The 20,423-nt window shown below is 44.1% G+C and overlaps 1 long non-coding RNA gene across 1 annotated transcript, besides 3 other annotated features; it reads right to left on the bottom strand.

Annotated features, from left to right (window-relative positions):
- Positions 1 to 7,844: 7,844 nt before the first annotated feature.
- On the bottom strand, positions 7,845 to 20,162 carry LOC105378782 (uncharacterized). The gene is made up of 3 exons (XR_947476.3): positions 19,950 to 20,162; positions 12,739 to 12,819; positions 7,845 to 9,791 (listed from the first exon to the last, which is right to left on the bottom strand). It is a non-coding gene; the product is annotated as an uncharacterized LOC105378782 (long non-coding RNA).
- Positions 17,179 to 18,057: an enhancer, noted in NCBI's record as "H3K4me1 hESC enhancer chr1:68761039-68761917 (GRCh37/hg19 assembly coordinates)". NCBI's record gives its function as "activates a minimal SCP1, AML or CMV promoter by ChIP-STARR-seq in primed H9 embryonic stem cells {active_cell/tissue: H9 hESC(primed)}" and the evidence as "EXISTENCE:reporter gene assay evidence [ECO:0000049][PMID:30033119]".
- Positions 18,058 to 18,936: an enhancer, noted in NCBI's record as "OCT4-NANOG-H3K27ac-H3K4me1 hESC enhancer chr1:68760160-68761038 (GRCh37/hg19 assembly coordinates)". NCBI's record gives its function as "activates a minimal SCP1, AML or CMV promoter by ChIP-STARR-seq in naive H9 embryonic stem cells {active_cell/tissue: H9 hESC(naive)}" and the evidence as "EXISTENCE:reporter gene assay evidence [ECO:0000049][PMID:30033119]".
- Positions 18,937 to 19,815: an enhancer, noted in NCBI's record as "OCT4-NANOG-H3K27ac-H3K4me1 hESC enhancer chr1:68759281-68760159 (GRCh37/hg19 assembly coordinates)". NCBI's record gives its function as "activates a minimal SCP1, AML or CMV promoter by ChIP-STARR-seq in naive H9 embryonic stem cells {active_cell/tissue: H9 hESC(naive)}" and the evidence as "EXISTENCE:reporter gene assay evidence [ECO:0000049][PMID:30033119]".
- Positions 20,163 to 20,423: the final 261 nt, after the last annotated feature.

Genomic DNA, 20,423 nt, shown 5'->3' with positions numbered 1-20,423 from the left:
GCCATGATAGAAATGTTTTTATGTCTGTGCTGTACAACAGAGTAGCCACTAGCTACATGTAGCTATTGAACACTTGAAATTTGGTTAGTGAAACTGTGGAGTTGAATATATATGTTATATATATATTTTTTTATGAATATATATATATATTCAAGACAGAGTCTCGCTCTGTCACCCAGGCTGGAGTGCAGTGGTGCTATCTTGGCTCACTGCAGCCTCTGCCTCTCAGGTTCCAGCGATTCTCCTGCCTCAGCCTCCTGAGTAGCTAGGATTACAGGCACGCATTACTACGCCTGGGTAATTTTTGTATTTTTAGTAGAGATGGGGTTTCACCATATTGGCAAGGCTGATCTCGAACTCCTGACCTCAGGTGATCCGCCTGCCTCCGACTACCAAAGTGCTAGGATTACAGGTGTGAGCCACCGCACCCAGCCAAATATATATATTTTTATAAATTCATTTAAATAGCCACATGGGGCTACTGGCTATTTTATTGGATGGCATATCTCTAAGATAAGAATGAGTTGTTGCACCTCCTACCACTAAGAAAAAGTTGCACCTCCAATCACTAAGTTGGCTTCTTTGAGTTTTGGAGGGAGCATAGACTGCTCTTAGGAGCACTTCTCCAATCTGTTTATCAGGTGACCCAGAAGGCTGTGGTTTTACATGGAACCCAGAGTAAGAAGAGGGGTTGCAACAAGTTGAGACTGTTACCCACTTGTCCTCCTACTCAGGCTATATACTAAAGGGAACAGTAGCAGATGAGAATGCTGGGTGGAGAACCAGGTAAGCCCCAGTAGAAGAATTGTTACAGTGTCTCCTAGAGCTTGAGACTAAGGGCATGGCTTTTGTAGCAGAGGGCACTTTTCTGTTTGAAAAGCAATGCCTAGGCTGGGCACAGTGGCTCACACCTGTAATCCCAGCACTTCGGGAGACTGAGGTGGGTGGATCACGTGAGGCCGGGAGTTCGAAACCAGCTCGACCAACATGGAGAAACCCCATCTCCACTAAAAATACAAAATTAACCAGGTGTGGTGGCACCTTCCTGTAATCCCAGCTACTTGGTAGGCTGAGGCAGGAGAATTGCTTGAACCCAGGAGGCAGAGGTTTCAGTGAGGCGAGATTGCGCCATTGCACTCCAGCCTGGGCAGCAAGAGTGAAATTCCGTCTCAAAACAAAAAGAAAGAAAGAAAGAGAGAGAAAGAGAGAGAGAGAGAGAGAGAAAAGAAAGAAAGGAAGGAAGGAAGGAAGGAAGGAAGGAAGGAAGGAAGGAAGGAAGGAAGGAAGGAAGGAAAAGGAAAAGAAAAGAAAGGAAAAGAAAAGAAAAAAGAAAAGCAATGCCTGTCATTCTACTGGACCCTAAGAGGGACTGGGTATTAATATCAATGACTATGTATCCAAAGCTGCCCATCATATGCTGAATCTTATTTGATCCACTGTGTCATGGTTGGAGTAGGTGCAAGGCAACTTATTATTCCATGGAAATGCTACATTAGGATCAGGTCCAAATAGTTCAAGAAGGTACAAGTACATTTCATAAACAGGTAGCTCAGATTCACATTATCAAACTAATGCCTCTTCTAAAATCCAAACCTCTAATTTATGGAGGGCTTTCCATAACCAATTGTCAGAGGAGGAAAGGACTTGGGCTTGGTTCAAAATGGGTGGCATAATACGTTGGTGCCGACTAAACATGGACAATTGTTATTATAATCCCATTGGGGTACTTCTAGAGGACAGTGGTGAAGGGAAATTCTCCCATTGGGCAGAGCTGCTAGCAGAACACTTGGTCATTTGATTATAATGGAATGAGATGTGGCTTCAGGTACAGACCTACATAGACTCCTGGTAAGCGGTCAGTGACTTGGCTCATTGTTGAGGGGCCTGGAAGGAATGACAAAAGATCAAGAACAAGGAATTCTAGGAAGAGTTATATAAATGAATTTATAGGACTGAGCCCAAAGTATTTATGTCCTTGTGTCTCACATAAATACTCATTAGAGAATAGTCCATGCAGAGGAGGTGGTCAACAATTAAAGGGACAGAATGAATCTTTCTATGGATTGCCCCCTTTAGCAACCACAGCCAATGAAATGGGTCATGTGGCAGAAACTAAGACATTGAATTGGCCGGACAGCATTGACTTCCTCTCACAAAGACTAATACAGCTACTGTCATGGTGAATGTCCAGTCTCCTAGTAGAAGAGACTAATTCTGAGCCATCAAGATGGCACTATCCCTTGAGGCAAACTCAAGTATAGCAGTAGGTTTACTACAATGAGCCACTTCCAACATGAAAGGGACTGTGACTTGGTCTCACTGAAATAGAAATCTCCTTATGGTGTTAGTTTGCCTTCCCTTGTACCTCCCTCAGCACCACCATCTACTGGCTTACAGACTATCTGATCTATGTGTATTGTATTCCATTCAGCACTTCCCCAGAACAAAATCCCAATTTATGCCAAAGGAAAGGCTACCTGGATGCATGACTAAAGGACCCACTGGTCTTCCTATGCACACCATCATCAAGATACTCTGTCTAGTAGAACAGTGGAAAGTCCTGTTAAAGCTTCAGCAAAGGCACCAGCTCAAGAGTTCTCTTTCCCCTAAGTTGTAGACTATCTGCTGACAAAAAGCAAATTATATGGTGTTGCTTTATCCTAAATAGCAAGAATTCATGGATCTGGGAACCACAGAGTCAAATAGAATTGGGTTTTCTTATTTCCGAAACTCACAGAACTTGTACTTTCTAATCATAGGTTGTACAAGGTTAGAGATTACAGTTCTAGAGGGATCAGATGGATGGCAGAATGCTCTGTCAGATGACACAGAAAGGTACCTAATGAACTTAAAGCTATAACCTACATACCTTTTTACTTGAAGTTCCTTATACCAGGAACTAACACATAACAAAGGTGTGAGTGTCTCCTCAGGAATCACTGATCCTGATTATCATGAGAAATAATCCAGAATTGCTACTATACAACAGGGATAAAAAGGAACATGTCAGGAACCCAGGAATTCACTGAGGTATCTCTGGGTAGTAGTTTGTTTGTTTGTTTGGTTGGTTGGTTGGTTTGTTGGTTGGTTGGTTGGTTTTTGAGATGGAGTTTCGCTTTTGTTGCCCAGGCTGGAGTGCAATGGCACGATCTTTGGCTCACTGCCACCTCTGCCTCCCAGGTTCAAGCAAATCTCCTGCCTCAGCCTCCTGAGTAGCTGGGATTACAGGCATGCATCTCCATGCCTGGCTAATTTTGTATTTTTAGTGGAGACGGAGTTTTACCCATGTTGGTCAGGCCGGTCCTGAACTCCTGATTTCAGATGACCCACCGGCCTCAGCCTCCCAAAATGCTGGAATTACAGGGGTGAGCCACCATGCCTGGCCTTCTCTTGGTAGTATTATGCATAGAAGATGCTCAATTGTAACAACCAGAGCCTGACAAGGGCAAGGCAACTATGAATAGAAACCCTCAGAGATGAAGCTCCATGTCATCCCAGCAGATGAACAACTGAAGATGAGGGGATTCAGAATAGATGGTGAAGAAAGGAGGTGATAGATACCTATTACAGCCTTGGGATCAGTTGTAGCAACAGGAATTATAGCTTCACTCAACCCTTTATTTAAGTCTTTTCAGAGATTATAGCTAGTCACCACCTTGAAGAGGACTCTTTGGTTGAGTGAACCTCTCCTTTTGGGAAAAAAAGTGACAGCATGCTGTTCACACACACACACACACACACGCACACACAATGTTTATTATGGCAGCTGGATATAATGAGAGCACATGAATTGATGTGAATAGTGCAAGGGGTGGAATGTATCATGTACAGCCTATGGCTTATTTCAATATCTTGGCTGCATCTACTTCTGTCATTGCCATGCTTGTTCCAACACCAGTAGTCACTGCACTGACAAACATTGGTTGATCTCTGACTAATTTCATGTAGGCCGAACAATATTTTCACATGCCCACACTAGGCACTTCTTGCTTTTTGCCCAGTCAATGCTGAGGGATGAAATGACATGAGGCTTGCTAGGTCCCACATAGGTACAACCCAGATGTGTAGAAGAACTAATGTACTAGAAAGCAAATATTTGACCAATGAGAAATGGGAGCTAGTGGATAAATTCTCCTCCCTTCCTCCCCTGAAAGAACTGTCTTGAGAAGCAGTTGCTTTTATGGGCTCAGAAGAAAGTCTCATGAGATCAGGTAATAGTCTCATTTGATTCCAAGCATGGCCAGCTTGATTCTTCAATCATGCTGTACAGGATTAGGAAAACTCATGCCATGAGAAAATGGGATTACTGAGATTTTCTTGTAAAAAAAATTGAATGCAGGTGTATAAGAAGAGGGCTATGTTTAAACCTCTTATGAAGAACAGAGTTAATATGGATCTTTCTGACACTTCAGAAAGTCAGCCAGTAACTCTTGCTTGCTGGTTGGCTGTCAATTCCAATTCATCCATTCTGTAGGCCTGACCCAAGGCATTTAGCAGCAGTGCCAGCAGATACACAGTGGTATCCAGAAAAGGAGAGAGCCATTTAAAAAAAGGAAATTATACTAAGCACTGTGGCCTGTGCTACACATATTCCATGTATTATTGCATCTAATCTTCATAGACAGGTATCATTATGATCTCTAATTTAGAGGAAAGGAAAGAACAGGAGTTCAGATTAACACCACCCAATCACTAAGTGGATAGGGGTCAAACTCATATTGTTTTTGACTAATGCAATTTCTCTAAACTGGATTCCTTTACCAAGAACCAGAGCTGTGCTCAGCTATTATTGTTTTGTGATCTCATTTGACCCAAAGGAAAGGAAGGCTGGTACCCTGAAAGAAAGAAAAAAATCACACACACATATTATCTTGGCAAAAGCACACATTAAATACAGTTATAGGTAAAAGAGGAAAACAAGATGGAATAGAGAAAATCAAAACAATCTTGGACTGCATTTGTCCAGACCGATGGTTCACAAAGAGTGTAACACAGCACGTATATGTATCCCAAAAAAAAGTGGATGTGTTATTAATTTGTGATCAATATACCCAATACTTTTTGGCTAGCACTAAAGACATTCTATTCAGCAATGCCTGCCAGATAAGCAGTGGGTGGTGTGACAGGCTGTAGGGCAGAGCAAAACTTGCTGTGAACCAGAAAGGATTGTATCAAGATCAAACAGGTGCCAAAGAAAGAAGCATTTACTGGAACACTTGAGAACACTCTCTTCTGTGTATATAAGACAGAGTAGTTAGGGTAGTCAATATTTCTATCAAACAGCAACAGTGTTGCTGAGAGACCAAGAGAGAACTGAAAAGAAAATTAAAATGTGAGACAAGATTGTTTTCTGCCCCTCAGACTGATCAGTAATGACTGCTGACTTATTTACTGATGTTACATGAATCTTTTAATTCCTTCAATTTATACCACTAAAAATACCATAACTATGAAAAGTGTGATAACACTGGTTTAGGAAACCAATTTACTTTATCAGAATTACCGCCTTACCTAAGCTGAGAAAAAAATGGGAAACCCTGCTTGTTAAAGCACTTTTCTTACAAAAGCACTTTTCTTCACCAGTACAACTAAGACGAAAGTAAGATTAATAAGATGTAGATCCACTTTCATGGGGCTTTCTAACAGAATCTGGCATTCCTTTGGGGCAGGTGACTCACCTGGACACAACTGGCTCAGAAACCCTGAAAGATAGAAGACATCACTCACTGAGAATGTATTTGGAACACAGAGAGCTAAAAATGAAATTCCCTAAGCCATGGGTGGCACCACAACATGCAATAGAAAGGACTGGAAGGGGGGTGGTGCTTTGAAATAAGAAAGCCAGGATTTTGCTGTGACTTGGCACCTCTCCCTCCATTTTGCCACACATAAAGGAAGCCTGCAAAGTCGTAAATGGCAGACCTCACATCAGCTGAAGAGCTGTGAAAGTAGCCGCCAAATCCCACAGGCTGTTCTTGAAACTAGTCATGACTCCTGATTAGGCAGAGACCTAGGAAGCTGTGCGGACCCTGCAGGTTTGCTACAGCTCTTTCAGGAGTGTTTGCTACAGTTTCCTTTGCTTTGCTTTAACCATAAGGAGACACAAGTTTCACCTGCTAAAGTCTCTTCTGTCACACTGTGGTCCTTTTATCAATATTTGATGATGATGAGGTTCAGGACATATGGCACCTTAGCATTAGAGAAAACAGCAGAAGCAGGAAGGTCATTCTCAACTTCCCCTCACCCTTTCTCCCCTGAAGCAGGCCATAAAACCTAGCTGACATTCTTCTGAAGTAGGTCATAAAACCTTCATTCCGGCCAGCACAGTGGTTTACGCCTGTAATCCCAGCACTTTAGGAGGCCCAGATGGGCAGATCACGAGGTTAGGAGTTCAAGACCAGCCTGACCAACATGGTGAAACCCCATCTCTACTAAAAATACAAAAAAATTAGCCGGGCATGGTGGCATGTGCCTGTAATCCCAGCTACTCAGGAGGGTGAGGCAGAAGAATCACTTGAACCCGGGAGGCAGAGGTTGCAGTGAGCCGAGATCGCACCACTGCACGCCAGCCTGGACAACAGAGCAAGACTCCCTCTCAAAAACAAACAAACAAACAAAACAAAACAAAACAAAACAAGACTTCATTCCAGAGGTGCCCACCCTATGCCCAGGAAAAAGGAACATCCTAATCCTCAGACACAGAGAAGCCAAGAAGAATCTGAACAAATAGACCTTGCTAAATTCCTCCCAGTTTATTACCATTATTAGATCATAATCCCTCTCTCCAATCATACTTCTGCACCACTGGCCACTTTTCATCAAACCTAAGCATAAAAATACACAGATTTCCCTGTTTCTTTGGGGTCTTCATTTCTGAAGATTTCACTGTCTCATAAAACTTACATTAAATACATTTGTGTGCTTTTCTCTTGTTAATCTGTCTTTTATTATAAGTGCCTCAACTATGACCCTTGCAATGGGTAAGGAAAAGATATTATTTATTCTCCCATACAATGACAGCAACTCAATATGTGGCATTGACTTTCACATTTGGCTCTTGATGCTGACCTGAAAATAACAGTTCAAATAACAGTTGAAAGCATCCCATGGTAAAAAGAAAGTCATTTTTTCTTTTTTTTTGTTTTCCTGCGTGCTTAGCTCTCCAAGGTTGGACATGAATTTAAGGGCCACAGAGCACTGGATGAAAATCCTAACTCCGGCCGGGCACAGTGGCTCATGCCTGTAATCCCAGCACTTTGGGAGGCGGAGGCAGGCAGATCATGAGGTCAGGAGATCGAGACCATCCTGGCTAACACGGTGAAACCCCGTCTCTACTAAAAAATACAAAAAATTAGCCGGGCGTAGTGGTGGGTGCCTGTAGTCCCAGCTACTCTGGAGGCTGAGGCAGGAGAATGGCGTGAACACGGGAGGCGGAGCTTGTAGTGAGCTGAGATCCCGCCACTGGACTCCAGCCTGGGCAACAGAGCAAGACTCCATCTCAAAAAAAAAAAAAAAAAAAAGAAAGAAAGAAAAGAAAATCCTAACTCCAACACTTACTGTTTTGTTAATTTAACTCTGAATTTCAGACTAGTCTTTGTTAAGTGGGGAATTTGACACCTGTCTTACAAGAGGATTTTTGAGAATGATATTATGTAAAGGGTCCAACCCAAAGACAGTGCTCAATAAATGTTAATCATCTTGCCCTGATTGCAGTTAAATTCCACGCTTCCTTTAATAAGAAATGTAGTTGGGTATTATCTCCATGTAACAGGCTGGAGAAATGGAGGCTGATAATGTGGCTAAAAGACAGCCGGCAAATAACAGAATTAAGAATTAACTCCACATCTTTTTGGAATTCCCAGTGCTTTATTCCTTTGCTCTGAGACATTGGGCTTCAGTTCATTTATTCACTGATTGAACAAACGTTTTTCAGGGCCTAATATATGCCAGATAGGAGAAATAATGGATAGAAAAGAAAACAGGCAAATCTCTGCCCTCATAGAATTTATATTCTAGTGAATGGAGACAGATAATACTAAATATGTACAACGGGGACAAATGCCAGAAGGAAAAAGAAGTGGAGTAGAGGACAGGAGTGTGGAATGTGTGTGCTAATTTACAGAAGACAATCAAGAAAGTGGTCTGATAAGCTGACCCTTGAGCAGACCTGAAGTCTGAGTGAGAATTGAGCCATGCAAATATCTGAGGGAAGAATGTTTCGGGCAGAGGGAAGCACCAACTACAAAGGCCCTGAGGTAGGAGCGTGCTGCATTTGTCAAAGGAATATCAGGATATAGCGAAAGGAGAGATGCAGTGGGAGGCAGGTTTATCCAGGGCTTCATAGGTGGCAGACAGCTCTTTGAATTTTACTCTGAGTGAGGTGGGAAGTCAGTGGGTATGTTGGGCAGAGAGGTAACATGATCTTAAGTGTTTAAAGGATCATTTTGGCTGCTGTGTGAAGAGACCATACCCAGGACATGGGAAAAGCTCAAGATCATTTCCTAATTCAGGGGAGAGGAGAGGGTGACTTGACTAGGATGAAGATAATGGTGGAGGAAAAGAGGAATAGCTGGGTTCGGGATATATTTTCAAATAGGCTCAACAGAATTTGCTTATGGATTTAATTTGGGCATTAGAGACAGAGGAAGACATGTTAAGAATAACATCAAGGTTTTTTTTTTGTTGTTGCTTAAAATACCATAGAAAACCACCAATGATTGCTAAAGTATCAGCCTTTATAAGTAACCCTGAATTCGTCATTTCCCCTCTCTAACTTTAGCTTCTTCATCTGCAAACATTTTGTGATGGGTCCAGGAGCACTTCAGCATCCCTTCACTCCAGCATCCTTCATGCCAGCAAACTTAATGTAATGACAGTGTTTCCTCTTCCCAATTCTAAGAATTTCTCTCCTTCCACCCCCAGGTATCATTCTATTTCCCTCCTCTTTTCATTTTTCCTACTTCCCTTTTCCCGTTCTACCTGCCTCTTCCAGAGGAGTCAAGAAGAGCTGAGGAGACACAGTCACAACTAGGCAGAGAAACACCCCGTTTCCTCTGGATCATGCTGGCCACATATTTTCAATCCATCAAAGGCTAAGTCTTGAGCATCTACAATGCATTAAGTACCCTAGGAAGATAGCTCATGTCCTAGGAACCAGTTGCTTCTCCTCGCGTTAGTATCTTGACTCTTGTGGAACCCTCCAAAAGAACATAAGGGAAACAGTGCTGCAGAGCTGTACCCTAAACCTGGTAAGTTTGGACCATGTAAAAAGCTTTATTTCTCAGAGTATTGCTATTGCCTCCCTCAAACCTATTCACTGATCTCCTGAAGTATACATATTCAACTGATTTGAAAGCTAGACAAATAAAAATTCTATTGGACAATTAGAAATTCTTCATATGGAGCAAGGAGAGGTGGCTCATGCCTGTAATCCCAGTATTTTGGGAGGCCAAGGCAGGCAGATCTCTTGAGCCCAGGAGTTTGAGACCAGCCCGGTCAACATGGAGAAACCCAGTCTCTACTAAACATATAAAAATTAGCCGAGTGTGGTGGTGCACAACCATAGTCCCAGCTACTCAGGAGGCTGAGGTGGGAGGATCACTTGAGTCCAGGAGGCAGAGGTTGCAATGAGCTGTGATCAGGCCACCACACTCCAGCCTGGGTGACAGAGCGAGATATTGTCTCAAAAAAAAAAAAAAAGGAAAGAAAAGAAATTCTTCATATCTTCTTTGCACTGAATGGCGTATAGAGCTCTTTCACATTCACGACACTATTTAATCCATCAGACAGCCCTACGAGAAAAGATGGCAAGACAGAAATTATTGTCCCCATTTTCCTGATGGGAAAATTAAAATTCAAACAACTGTTTACCCAAGGAAATTACTGTTAATTATAAGATGTTCACTAGAATGTGGGCACTCTGGTTTCCAAACATAATGCTTTTTCATAATAATGGCTGCCATTTATTGAGCATTATATGCCTAGTATTCTGGGAATAGTTTATATAAATTTTCTTATTGAATGTTTACAAAAGCCTAGGAAGTGCATGCATTGTCCCTATTTTTCAAATGAGAAAACTAACACTCAGAAATGTTAATAAATTATCCATCAGATATTTATAGATGTGACACTAGGAGATGTGGCCAAAATCAACCTCGCCCATGGATGTTGTTGACTCTCATATAAAGAGGTTTGGGGGTTACAAATGAATTATCAGCAGCCTTTGGCACAGCTGATTTCTCCTTCATTCCTATAATATATATATTTTTCCCCTGTAGTCATCATTTTCCCTCTCCTACCTCACAGCCATGGCTTTTTGGTTTCCTGTGCTAGTTCCTTTTTCTCTACAATCATCTTAATTTTGGAGTCCCCAGGGGTGAGTCCTGCACCCTTTTTCTTCTTTCCCCATATGATTTTATCCATCCCCTTGGATTCAAATACAAACTATTTTCTGAAGACTCTCAAACTTCTGCCTCCAGCTTAGCCCACTTCTCTGAGTTCTGGACTTTCTTCTATATCCAAATGGCTTCTTGGCATATCTGTTCAGCTGTCTCACGGACGTTGCAAACTTAACATTTCCAAAGTGGAACGATTGATTCCCCCTCATTCCGTTCCTAAACTGATCATATCACAGTCTTTCTTTCCCTGACAATGATAACCACTGGTACAGTTACTAAAGCCAGAAACCAGAATTCTCTCCCTTCTCTCACTTCCTGTAACTTACCAGCAAGTCCTATTGGCTCTGCTTCCAAAATATATCCTGCATCTCTCTAGTCCTCTCAGTTCCAAGTCACCATTCACTTTCATCTGTGGCTCCTCATAGCTGCCCCACTGTACCCACTCTCAGTCCTCTCCCACCAGTCTTCTCCACAGTGATTTTTTTGAAAATGTGAATCAGCTTGTGTCACTCCCCTACTTTAAAGCCCTTAATAGCTTCCCATGGGCTTAGAAAATGTTTGAAAACCTTGTCATGGTTCCAAAGGCCCACTGAATGGGCTCCTGCCTTTGTCTTTCCTTCTTTCCTTCATTATACTCTAGTCATACGGGCTTTCCAGAAGTACTGCAGACTTTCCCTGCTCTTCCCCATCTCAGAACTCTTGCCATGACTCTTCTTGGAGAGCTCCTCCATTGATTGACCCTTCACTTGGCTGGCTCTTTGGTCTCATCTTGAACATCTTCTCTTATGAGAAGCCTTCCTTAAACATGTTCCCCTGTTAGCCTTTATCACAGCATCATGCCTACTTTCTTTATCACACAATCATAACTTGTAATTATCTAATATATTTATCTATTGTCAGACCCCTCATGAGGGCAGAGATCTGTAGGTCTCACCACCGTCACGATACAGCATCTGTGTATGTATATTTCCAGTACCCAAAGCTCAGTAAACATTAATTGAGTGAACAAAAGAATGCAGAGGGTGAATTTCAATTTCAATTATGCAGACCCTTTAGCATGAATATGGTGCTTGGTTATGTTTATCCTTTGTGTTTTGTGCTTTGCAAACTCAGGGAGGAGTCCCACTGATGAAGTAATGTAGAAAAGAGCTGTGGTCATGACCTAACCTCTATTAAATAAGAACAATGAGGACAAGTGATATTGACCCAAAAGAATCTAGGCTGTTAGGCCAGGTGCCAAAATTTTTTTGGCTTTTATATTTCCTTAGGTATATAAGAGACTTGAATTTCTGAGAAGCTATCCAAACTATGACCAAACATTACAAAATCCATTTCACTTAGCCTTTAAAGACTCGTCATGCTCCATTTCAATAACAGCTAGACCTCTCATCAGCATTTGCAGGGCTGGAGGCCATATCCGACCCAGGCTTTCATCTTTGTCTCCAAAAGTAGGCAAATGTGTAATCATAATAACCATTTGTCTTATGTTAAGAGCCTACAGCATGACCAATACTGCCAAGTACTAGGTGCTCTGCATGTTATGCCTATTTAGTCTTCACCATAAACCTATGAGGATTGTTTTATGTCTAACTAATAGATAAAGAATCTGAGGCTCAGAGAAGTCACACTACTTACTCTTATGCCAGGCTTTCAGCTGGTAAGAGACAGAACTGAGACTGACCCCAAGTTTTCTTATTCCAAAGTGAGCATTATTTAAACTCCATTATATTTTCCTTTTTAAAAAAAAAATCACATCCATGTATTTTTATTAAATTATTTCAATTATTAGGTACACTGCATAATATTTGCTGATCAACTGATGAAGTATGATTCTCTTTAAAGAGGCAATGTAAGTAAGCTTTCTGGGTCTCCACTATTCCTCCAGGGTGAAATCCTAGCAGTGATGCTGTCACAGAGAATAATCTTAATTTACCTTCTCTGGGTAAACATCTGGCTCATAGAGATTAGAGACTGTTCTTGCCTAAAGTCTCCTTAAAAAGGAAATGAATCTACTTCACCATTAGTCCTTACACTGTGATTTGTGGAGCCCAAGGATTCCATGAAGACCCTTCTAGGGTCCCTACAAAAGGGGAAAAGGGTACCATTTATTCCTTTGTTTATCTGGTTTGGGACTTTAACTGAAGATTTCATTTAACATTTGAAAAACACTGCCCTTGAGGAAATGAAAAAAGGAAGGAAGGAAGGAATGGAGGAAAGAAGGGAAGGAGGAAGGGAAGAAGGGCAGCAAGCAAGAAAGAAAAGAATGAAGGAAAAAGGTGACAGTCAAGAATTTTCTGTTTCTTGGAATGGTTTACACAAATAAGGCATTCTGAACACATACCTGACTGAAAGTTGGGGAGAAATAGCAGACCAATGGTGGAGGCTCCTTACGAAGGAAGGTGGAAGAGAGATATGTTCCAACCTTAGGAAAAAAGTTAGTTAGAACAGCTAACATAGGTGTGAGGGAATAAGAGCATGGCTTTTTTTTTTTTTTTTTTTTGAGACGGAGTCTTGCTCTATTGCCAAGCTGAAGTGCAGTGCTCCATCTTGGTTCACTGCAACCTCTGCTTCCCAGGTGCAAGCGATTCTCCTGCCTCAGCCTCCCAAGTAGCTGGGACTACAGGTGCATGCCACCATGCCCAGCTAATTTTTGTATTTTTAGTAGAGACAGGGTTTCACCATGTTGGCCAGGATGATCTTGATCTCTTGACCTTGCGATCTACCTGCCTTGGCCTCCCAAAGTGCTGGGATTACAGGCATGAGCCAGCAAGCCCAGCCAAGCATGGCTTTAAATAGAAACACAGGATAACTACTAGACCCTCATTTTTGTAAGGAATTCCTAAGATGACACTGAAGTGAAAGTTCAACACAAGCTCATGCAAACCATGTGAGTGGTGCTCTATCTCCAGAAAGCTAAAAATGTTGTAAAATTCTTGATTATAGTTTAGAGATGCTGGACTGGGTTAGGCGCAGTGCCTCACGCCTGTAATCCCAGAACTTTGGGAGGCCGAGGCAGGTGGATCACCTGAAGTCAGGAGTTCAAGACCAGCCTGCCCAACATGGCAAAACCCTGTCTCTACTAAAATACAAAAAATTAGCCGGGCATGATGGCGGGCACCTGTATTCCCAGCTACTCGGGAGGCTGAGGCAGGAGAATCTCTTGAACCCAGGAAGTGGAGGTGGCAGTGAGCTGAGATCGCGCCACTGCACTCCAGCCTGGGTGACAAGAGTGAAACTCCATCTCAAAAAAAGCCATAAATAGAGACGCTGGACTGCCAGCATTTTGCTCTTATGTTCTTTTTCTTTTAGATATAAGGGTCTCACTGTGTCGTCCATGCTGGACCCCAACTCCTGAGCTCAAGCAATCCTCCTGAGTACCTGGAACAACAGGCACACACGACTTCAACTAGCTTCACCCAGCTTCACTTATGTTCTTAAATTTAGTTTTTCTTTGGTAATTGAACACCCAGCTCTCCCCCTTAAACCTAACAGATGACTGCTTGTGACTTTCAGTATATCTAATGGTTTTTCAATTTCCATTTTGTTACAGAAAACATCACTTCCAGAATGGAAGTACCTCTCTTCTGACAGGTCTATTAATATGGTCCAGAAAGTAGTCCCAAGCCTACCGCTCTTCTGTAACTATACATTCTCTCTAGGCACATTCCCTTAGTCCCATGCCTTTTTTTTTTTTTTTTTTTTTTCCAGACGGAATTTCACTCTTATTGCTCAGGCTGGAGTGCAATGGCGTGATCTGGGTCACTGCAACCTCTGCCTCTGAGGTTCAAGTGATTCTCCTGCCTCAGCCTCCCGAGTGGCTGGTACTACAGGCGCCTGCCACCATGCCTGGCTAATTTTTGTATTTTTAGTAGAGATGGGGTTTCACCGTGTTGGCCAGAATGGTCTCGAACTCCTGACCTCAAGTGGTCCAACCGCCTTGGCCTCCCAAAGTGCTGGGATTACAGGCATGAGCCACTGTGCCTGGCCAGCCCTATGTCTTTAAATAATTTCTATGCTGTACTGCCTCTTATAGCTTTACCGTCAATCCCGATCTTTCACCAAAACTCCCTTGCTGGGTAAGTACCTGACATCTCCATGATGTACACTCAGATGATTGAGTGTATATATAGTAGGTATAGGTATCCCAAACTTAAAATGCCCAAAACAATGTTCCTATTCCCCTAAATTTGATCATCCTCAGTTTTGCATCTCAGCAAATGACTACACCACACATTGCTTAAAACAAACAAAAAGCCCTTGGAGTCATCCTTGCCTCTTCGCTCTTCTTTCACCCCATATCCAATGTTGGCTTTATCTCTCAAATTCATAGTATTCCTCCGCTTCTCTCAGTCTCCTCTGCTACTGCTCTAGTCCAAACCACCATCATTTCTCCCTGGATGAAAATCAGCAGCTTCCTAACTGGTCTCCCTGCTGCTCTTGCCCACCCCCATACAGTCTGCTCTCCAGACAGCAGTCAAAGCAAATTTTTAAAAATGTAGGCCGGGTGCAGCAGCTCATGCCTGTAATCCCAGCACTTTGGGAGGCCAAAGCGGGAGAATCTCTGGAGCCCAGAAGTTTGAGATCAGTCTGGGAAACATGGCAAAACCCTATCTCTACAAAAAGTAAAAAATTAGCTAGGCATGGTGGCAGGCACCACCTGTAGTCCCAGCTACTCAGAAGGCTGAGGATAGTGTGAGCTGTGGTTGTGCCACCGCACTCCAGCCTGGGTGACAGACCAAGACCTTGCCAAAAAAAAAAATTAAAATGTAAATCAGACCATGTTACTCCCCTGCTTACAACTTTCCAAGGGTTTCCAATTACACCAAGAATAGAATCCAAGCCCCTCACTATGGTCTAGGACAGAGTTTTTCAAACCAAACCATTTACTAGATTGTGAAACCAATGTACTAGGTAAAGATCAGCATTTTAAAATAAAATAAGACAGAAATATCAAAGTTACCATGTGTCATAAAGATAAGTATTATTTTATAAGGGCCAGGCATGGTGGCTCACGCATGTAATCCCAGCACTTTGGGAGGCTGAGGCAGATGGCTTGAGCATAGGAGTTCGAACCAGCCTGGGCAAAATGTTGAAACCCAGTGTCTACAAAAAATACAAAATGAGCCAGGTGTAGTGGTGTGGGCCTGTAGTCCCAGCCACTGGCAGGGGAAGGGGGCTGAGGTGGGAGGATCAGCCCCAGAGGCTGAGGCTGCAGTGAGCTGTTATTGGGCCACTACACTCCAGTCTGGGTGACAGAGTGAGACCCATCTAAAAAAAAAAAAAGTGTTATTTCATGAAGTTTTTCTCTCAGATACGTGTGTGTGCTGGACTGTGATGGAAAATACATTTCTTACTCTGGGGCCACATTAAAAGAGTTGAAAGCCATTGCCCTACAGGACCCTAATGATCTATTTGCTCATATCTCCCACCTAATCTCCCACTCCATCTCCTGCTCACTCAAATCCTTGAGTCCCACCAGCCTTCTTACTGTCTCCAAAGAAACCAGGCTTCTCCCCACCTCAGGCCCTTGCCTTTTGTTTGGAATGCTATACTTCCAATTATTTCCATTGGATGGATCCTTCTTGTACAGGTCAAGTCACTGCTTAGAAAGCCCTTCCTCTGACTGTTCTAAAGCAGGCCCACTCACTCCTCTATCATTTCAACCAGTTTGATTTTCTGATGATGCTGACCATATTTATTTGTTTGTCCATTGTCTTTCTCAGCCATCCGGGCATAGCCACAAGACCTTGTGACATTACCAAGGACCTTGACTGTCCACCACAGATCCCCTGTCCACATATAAAAGTGAGTCGATAAATATTAATTGATGGACTGTTGAATGAAAAGTGAAATTGCTTGTACATGTGTTTTTATAAAATAGGGACACCCCATAATGAAATGCTTAACTAATTGTACTAATGCTGCTGAGAAAACAAAGCTGCTGCTGCTGCTGCTGCTAAAACTGCACAGTGGCTGGCAGGCAGTGCCCCGTGGGAGAGCCTGATGTTTCATTTGTCAGCTGATTGATGAATGCTCAAATTTAGTGTGCAAAAGTTAATTTCTTGGAGTGCAATGTATGAAAATGCAGATTGGTTGACACTGAGCATTTAATAGTTAAGAACATTCTCATAGTATTTGCCTAGTGCCCTGTGGTTCCTGGCAACAATAGGCAAAAAAAAAAAAAAAAAAAAAAAAACTTTAAAAATCAAGTATTCATCTTGAACTCCTTTCAGCTATAGTGGAACCAGAAGTAAAATCTACTTCTAACACCTTTTTCCTGAATGAAGGAAGAGAAACCCAAGAAAGCAAGTAAGTAGTGGCAACTGTCAGGAGTGGCCAGATGGGAGAAGAGTTTGAATGGAAACTGCCCTCAGGGAGCCAGGCCCAGGGGCTACACAGCCTGTTCACCAAAGTTCTCCCAAAGGTTATTAGGATTATCGTCTCGATCTTTATTTATTTCCAGGTGTCTGATCATAAAGGGGCTTGTATGCTAAGCTAAGGAGGTTGAATTTTCTTCTAAGTGCTATGGGGAAGAACCTTAAAAGGGTTTTAAGCAGGAGAGTGACCTTTTGGGGGGTCTCCAGACTCCCAGGCTGCATTGAGCAGGGGAGGGGAATTGAGGGTGTGCACGCTTGGCAGTAGGAAGCACTGCGGCAGACATTCCCAGTGAGGAGTAATGAGAAGCCTACAGGAAGGCAAAGGTTGTGGGAACCAGAGATTGTGATGAGAGAGCCTTGTTCGAATCTGACTCTCCCTACCTACAAGTTACTGCTTCCACTTGGTGACCCTACGATGGTTCCTACGCCTCTTTCCTCTCTGAACAAATAAAGCTGATAATAGTACCTATTCCAGAGATTGCTGTGAAGATTGTGGTAATGAATATAAAAGTTCAATGCCTGCCACATAGTAAGTGCTCAATATACATTAGTTGTTCGTTTTTAACCAGGCACTGTCCACGGCGCTATTGATACAGGAGTGCCCGGAAGGGAAGAGCTAGTTCCTTTAAATGATGCAGAAGGGATAAGGGAAGTGCCTGAGAGAAGGGCGTGGTCCCTGGCTAGGGGTCTACCCCTACGGACCCAGGTGAGGACAGGCACTTCTGCCTTCACACGCACGCAAATGTTGCGTTTTCAAAGACCCCCCCTAACCTGCCATACCCCCATCCTGGGCCTATAGAAACCTGAGACCCTGGAAAGGTAAAGACATTAGCTGCTGGACTACGAGTGGAACACATCAGCGGAAGAAGACCAGCAACTGGACTTTGAGCGGACGTCGAGGCGAGCACGCCGGCGGAAGATCACACCGACAGATGCCAGGACGTGGGCAGGCCATAGACTGGCGGGATGAGGCAGAGTTTGGGCGGGGCAGTCAGAGGAGAGCGGGGGCTGCTGAGCAGGCCAACTCCAGGGGAAAACCATCTCCATCCTGGCTTCCACATCACTGAAGAGCTACTTCCATTCAATAAAACTTTGCAGCCAGGCGCGGTGGCTCACGCCTGTAATTCCAGCACTTTGGGAGGCCGAGGCGAGTGGATCACGAGGTCAGGAGTTCAAGACCAGCCTGGCCAAGATGGTGAAACCCCGTCTCTACTAAAAATACAAAAATTAGCTGGGCGTGGTGGTGGGCGCTTGTAATCCCAGCTACTCGGGAGGCTGAGGCAGAGAACTGCTTGAACCCAGGAGGTGGAGGTTGCAGTGAGCCAAGATAGCGCCACTGCACTCCACCCTGGGCGACAGAGCGAGACTCTATCTCAAAACAAAAACACAAACAAAAACAAACAAAAAAAACTTTGCACCCATCCTCCAACCCCACGTGTGATCTGCTTCTTCTGGTACACCAAAGCAAGAACCCGGGATACAGAAAGCCCTCTGTCCCTGCGACAAGGTAGAGGGTCTATTTGAGCTGGTTTAACACAAGCCGCCTATAGACAAACTAAAAGAGCACCCTGTAACACATGCACACTGGGGCTTGAGGAGCCGTAAACATTCTCCCCTAGACACTGCCTTGGAGTCGGAGCCCTGTATGCCTGCCTGCCTCTATGCCTCCCTGGAGGTTTGAGCAGCAGGGCACTGGAGAAGCGAGCCACACCCCCGTGGCACACCATGTGAGGGGGTCAAGGGAACCTTTCCAGTTTCACAGTGTGAGGCAGATTCACACCCAACAAACCAGAACAAGAGTTTGACCGTCACAGATGCTTTGAAAACACAGAGAACCCAAAGTTTATTCTCACCAGCAGAGAAGGCTTCACAGAGGTGGATCTGGAGCTGGCAGGGTCGGGGGGAATAAACAGCATTTTGAGAGGCAGGACTTACATTGAAAAATGCAATTCACTCCAATGCATACACTGTAATGCAAACTCTAGTCTTGATTGGTTAGGGTAAGCCTGTGACTGCGGCGAGGTAGAGGTGGCCGGGAAGGCCGTTCCTGCCTGCACTTGGGTGAGAATTGGGACTCAGTCACCTCTTCATCTTGGACAGTCGGTCTGGCCCCCTCTTTCTGAGGCAAGGCTCGTATCTTAAGCTAGTTGGAGATACGGCCGCAATCCTGGCTCTCAATAGGTCGGGGATTGAGGGCCCCTCAACCACAGGTTTTTGTCTGCAAACCCAGTTTCGGAGGTCCCTAAAAGTGTACAAATAGTAAAGCCAGGCCCAGCCGAGCCAATTCTTTCCATCCCTCCAGCGCTGCATGCTGATTATTTGCTCTCCATATCACCTCTCCTCAGGGGGCTTCAAGGAATCAGCAAATCCCCCGCATCAGAGCTACGAATCCCTAGCATAACCCATTCACACACAGCGGGGCGGCTGGGGATTAATTGGAGGGGGAATGTTGTGAATTCCAGAGAGTTCTTTCTTTTCTCCTCACAGTCAGTGGCCGGGGATATTGCTACATGAAAGCTTTGCTGTCAGTATCAATCATCATTGCCCAGGCTGCTACATTCCAAAGAATGAATTGGCCTCATTTGGTAACTCGACTGGAGCGGGGGAGTCATTCCTGAAGGGTCCACATTTGCGGGCCCCAATTCCGACTCCGTAAGTGGTTTCCAAAGACAAACAGAAACCCGGAGAGCCCAGCTTCCTTTTCCTGGATTCCCCATTTTAGTGAACCCTGGGAAGGGAGAGACCTGAAGGGAGGGTGAGACCCGTTAGTGCCTGGGCAGGAAATCAGCCAGAGCTTTGGCTGAGAGGAGAGAGACAGACAAAAATAGCGCATTGCTCTCTCATTGCTTTGATGCAGAGGCCGACTTTCCCCTGCGTCTCGGCAGGAAGGATAAGGCTGCAGGGCTCTCCCTCATCTCTGAGCTAAGTGGGGCCCAGGGCCTGCAAAGCAAAGTGAACCCAAACCTCCCCGTTCAGAGGGAGAGGTGCTCTAGGAAGGCAGTTTGTGTGTGTGTGTGTGTGTGTGTGTGTGTGTGTGTGTGTTTTAATGCAGTATGTCAAACGTTTTCCTCATGGAAGCCGTTGCTGGGAGCCCCTAGAAAAGAAACGAATTTTCCCGGGGATTTCACCTCTTAAGTCTGCATCCTGCATGTCTAAACCTTTCCCGAATTCTTACCTTTTTCAGTGCAAGATTTCCAGATTGCCTCCTCCTCCCCCATACTGTCTGAGCATTTCTCTCAACTTCTCCCAGCCTCCTCCCTCTGCCTTGTTGCAGAATTTCCTGAAACTCCCACCAAGTCGAGTGCTCAGAGAATGTATCCTGAGGGATTGGCAGGCTTCTCCACATGTCTTGGCCTCGCTCTGCTTGCTGTGAGAGGTGCTGCACTCTGACTGTCCCCAGGAACTGGAGCCCCAGGTGGGGCGGCTCAGTGGCTCTGGGGTGGTGTGACCCAAAGTGAGCCGCTGGCTGTCTTACCTACTGCATCCATGAAATGAATGCTCTGCCTCCCTCTAAGGCTGTGCAGGGATTAGTGGGAGAATAGATTTTAAAGAGCTTTGTGATTTGTAAAGCACTCAACATGAGAAATGATTATGAAATTCTCTTATTGGAAACAGTATTGGGTGAATTACTGATCTTTCTAAAGGCTTC

The sequence above is a fragment of the Homo sapiens genome, chromosome 1, assembly GCF_000001405.40.
Source record: "Homo sapiens chromosome 1, GRCh38.p14 Primary Assembly".
NCBI classification, from domain to species: domain Eukaryota; kingdom Metazoa; phylum Chordata; class Mammalia; order Primates; family Hominidae; genus Homo; species Homo sapiens.
Note: the sequence above shows the minus strand (reverse complement) of the source record. Positions and strands in the feature narration are given on the sequence as shown.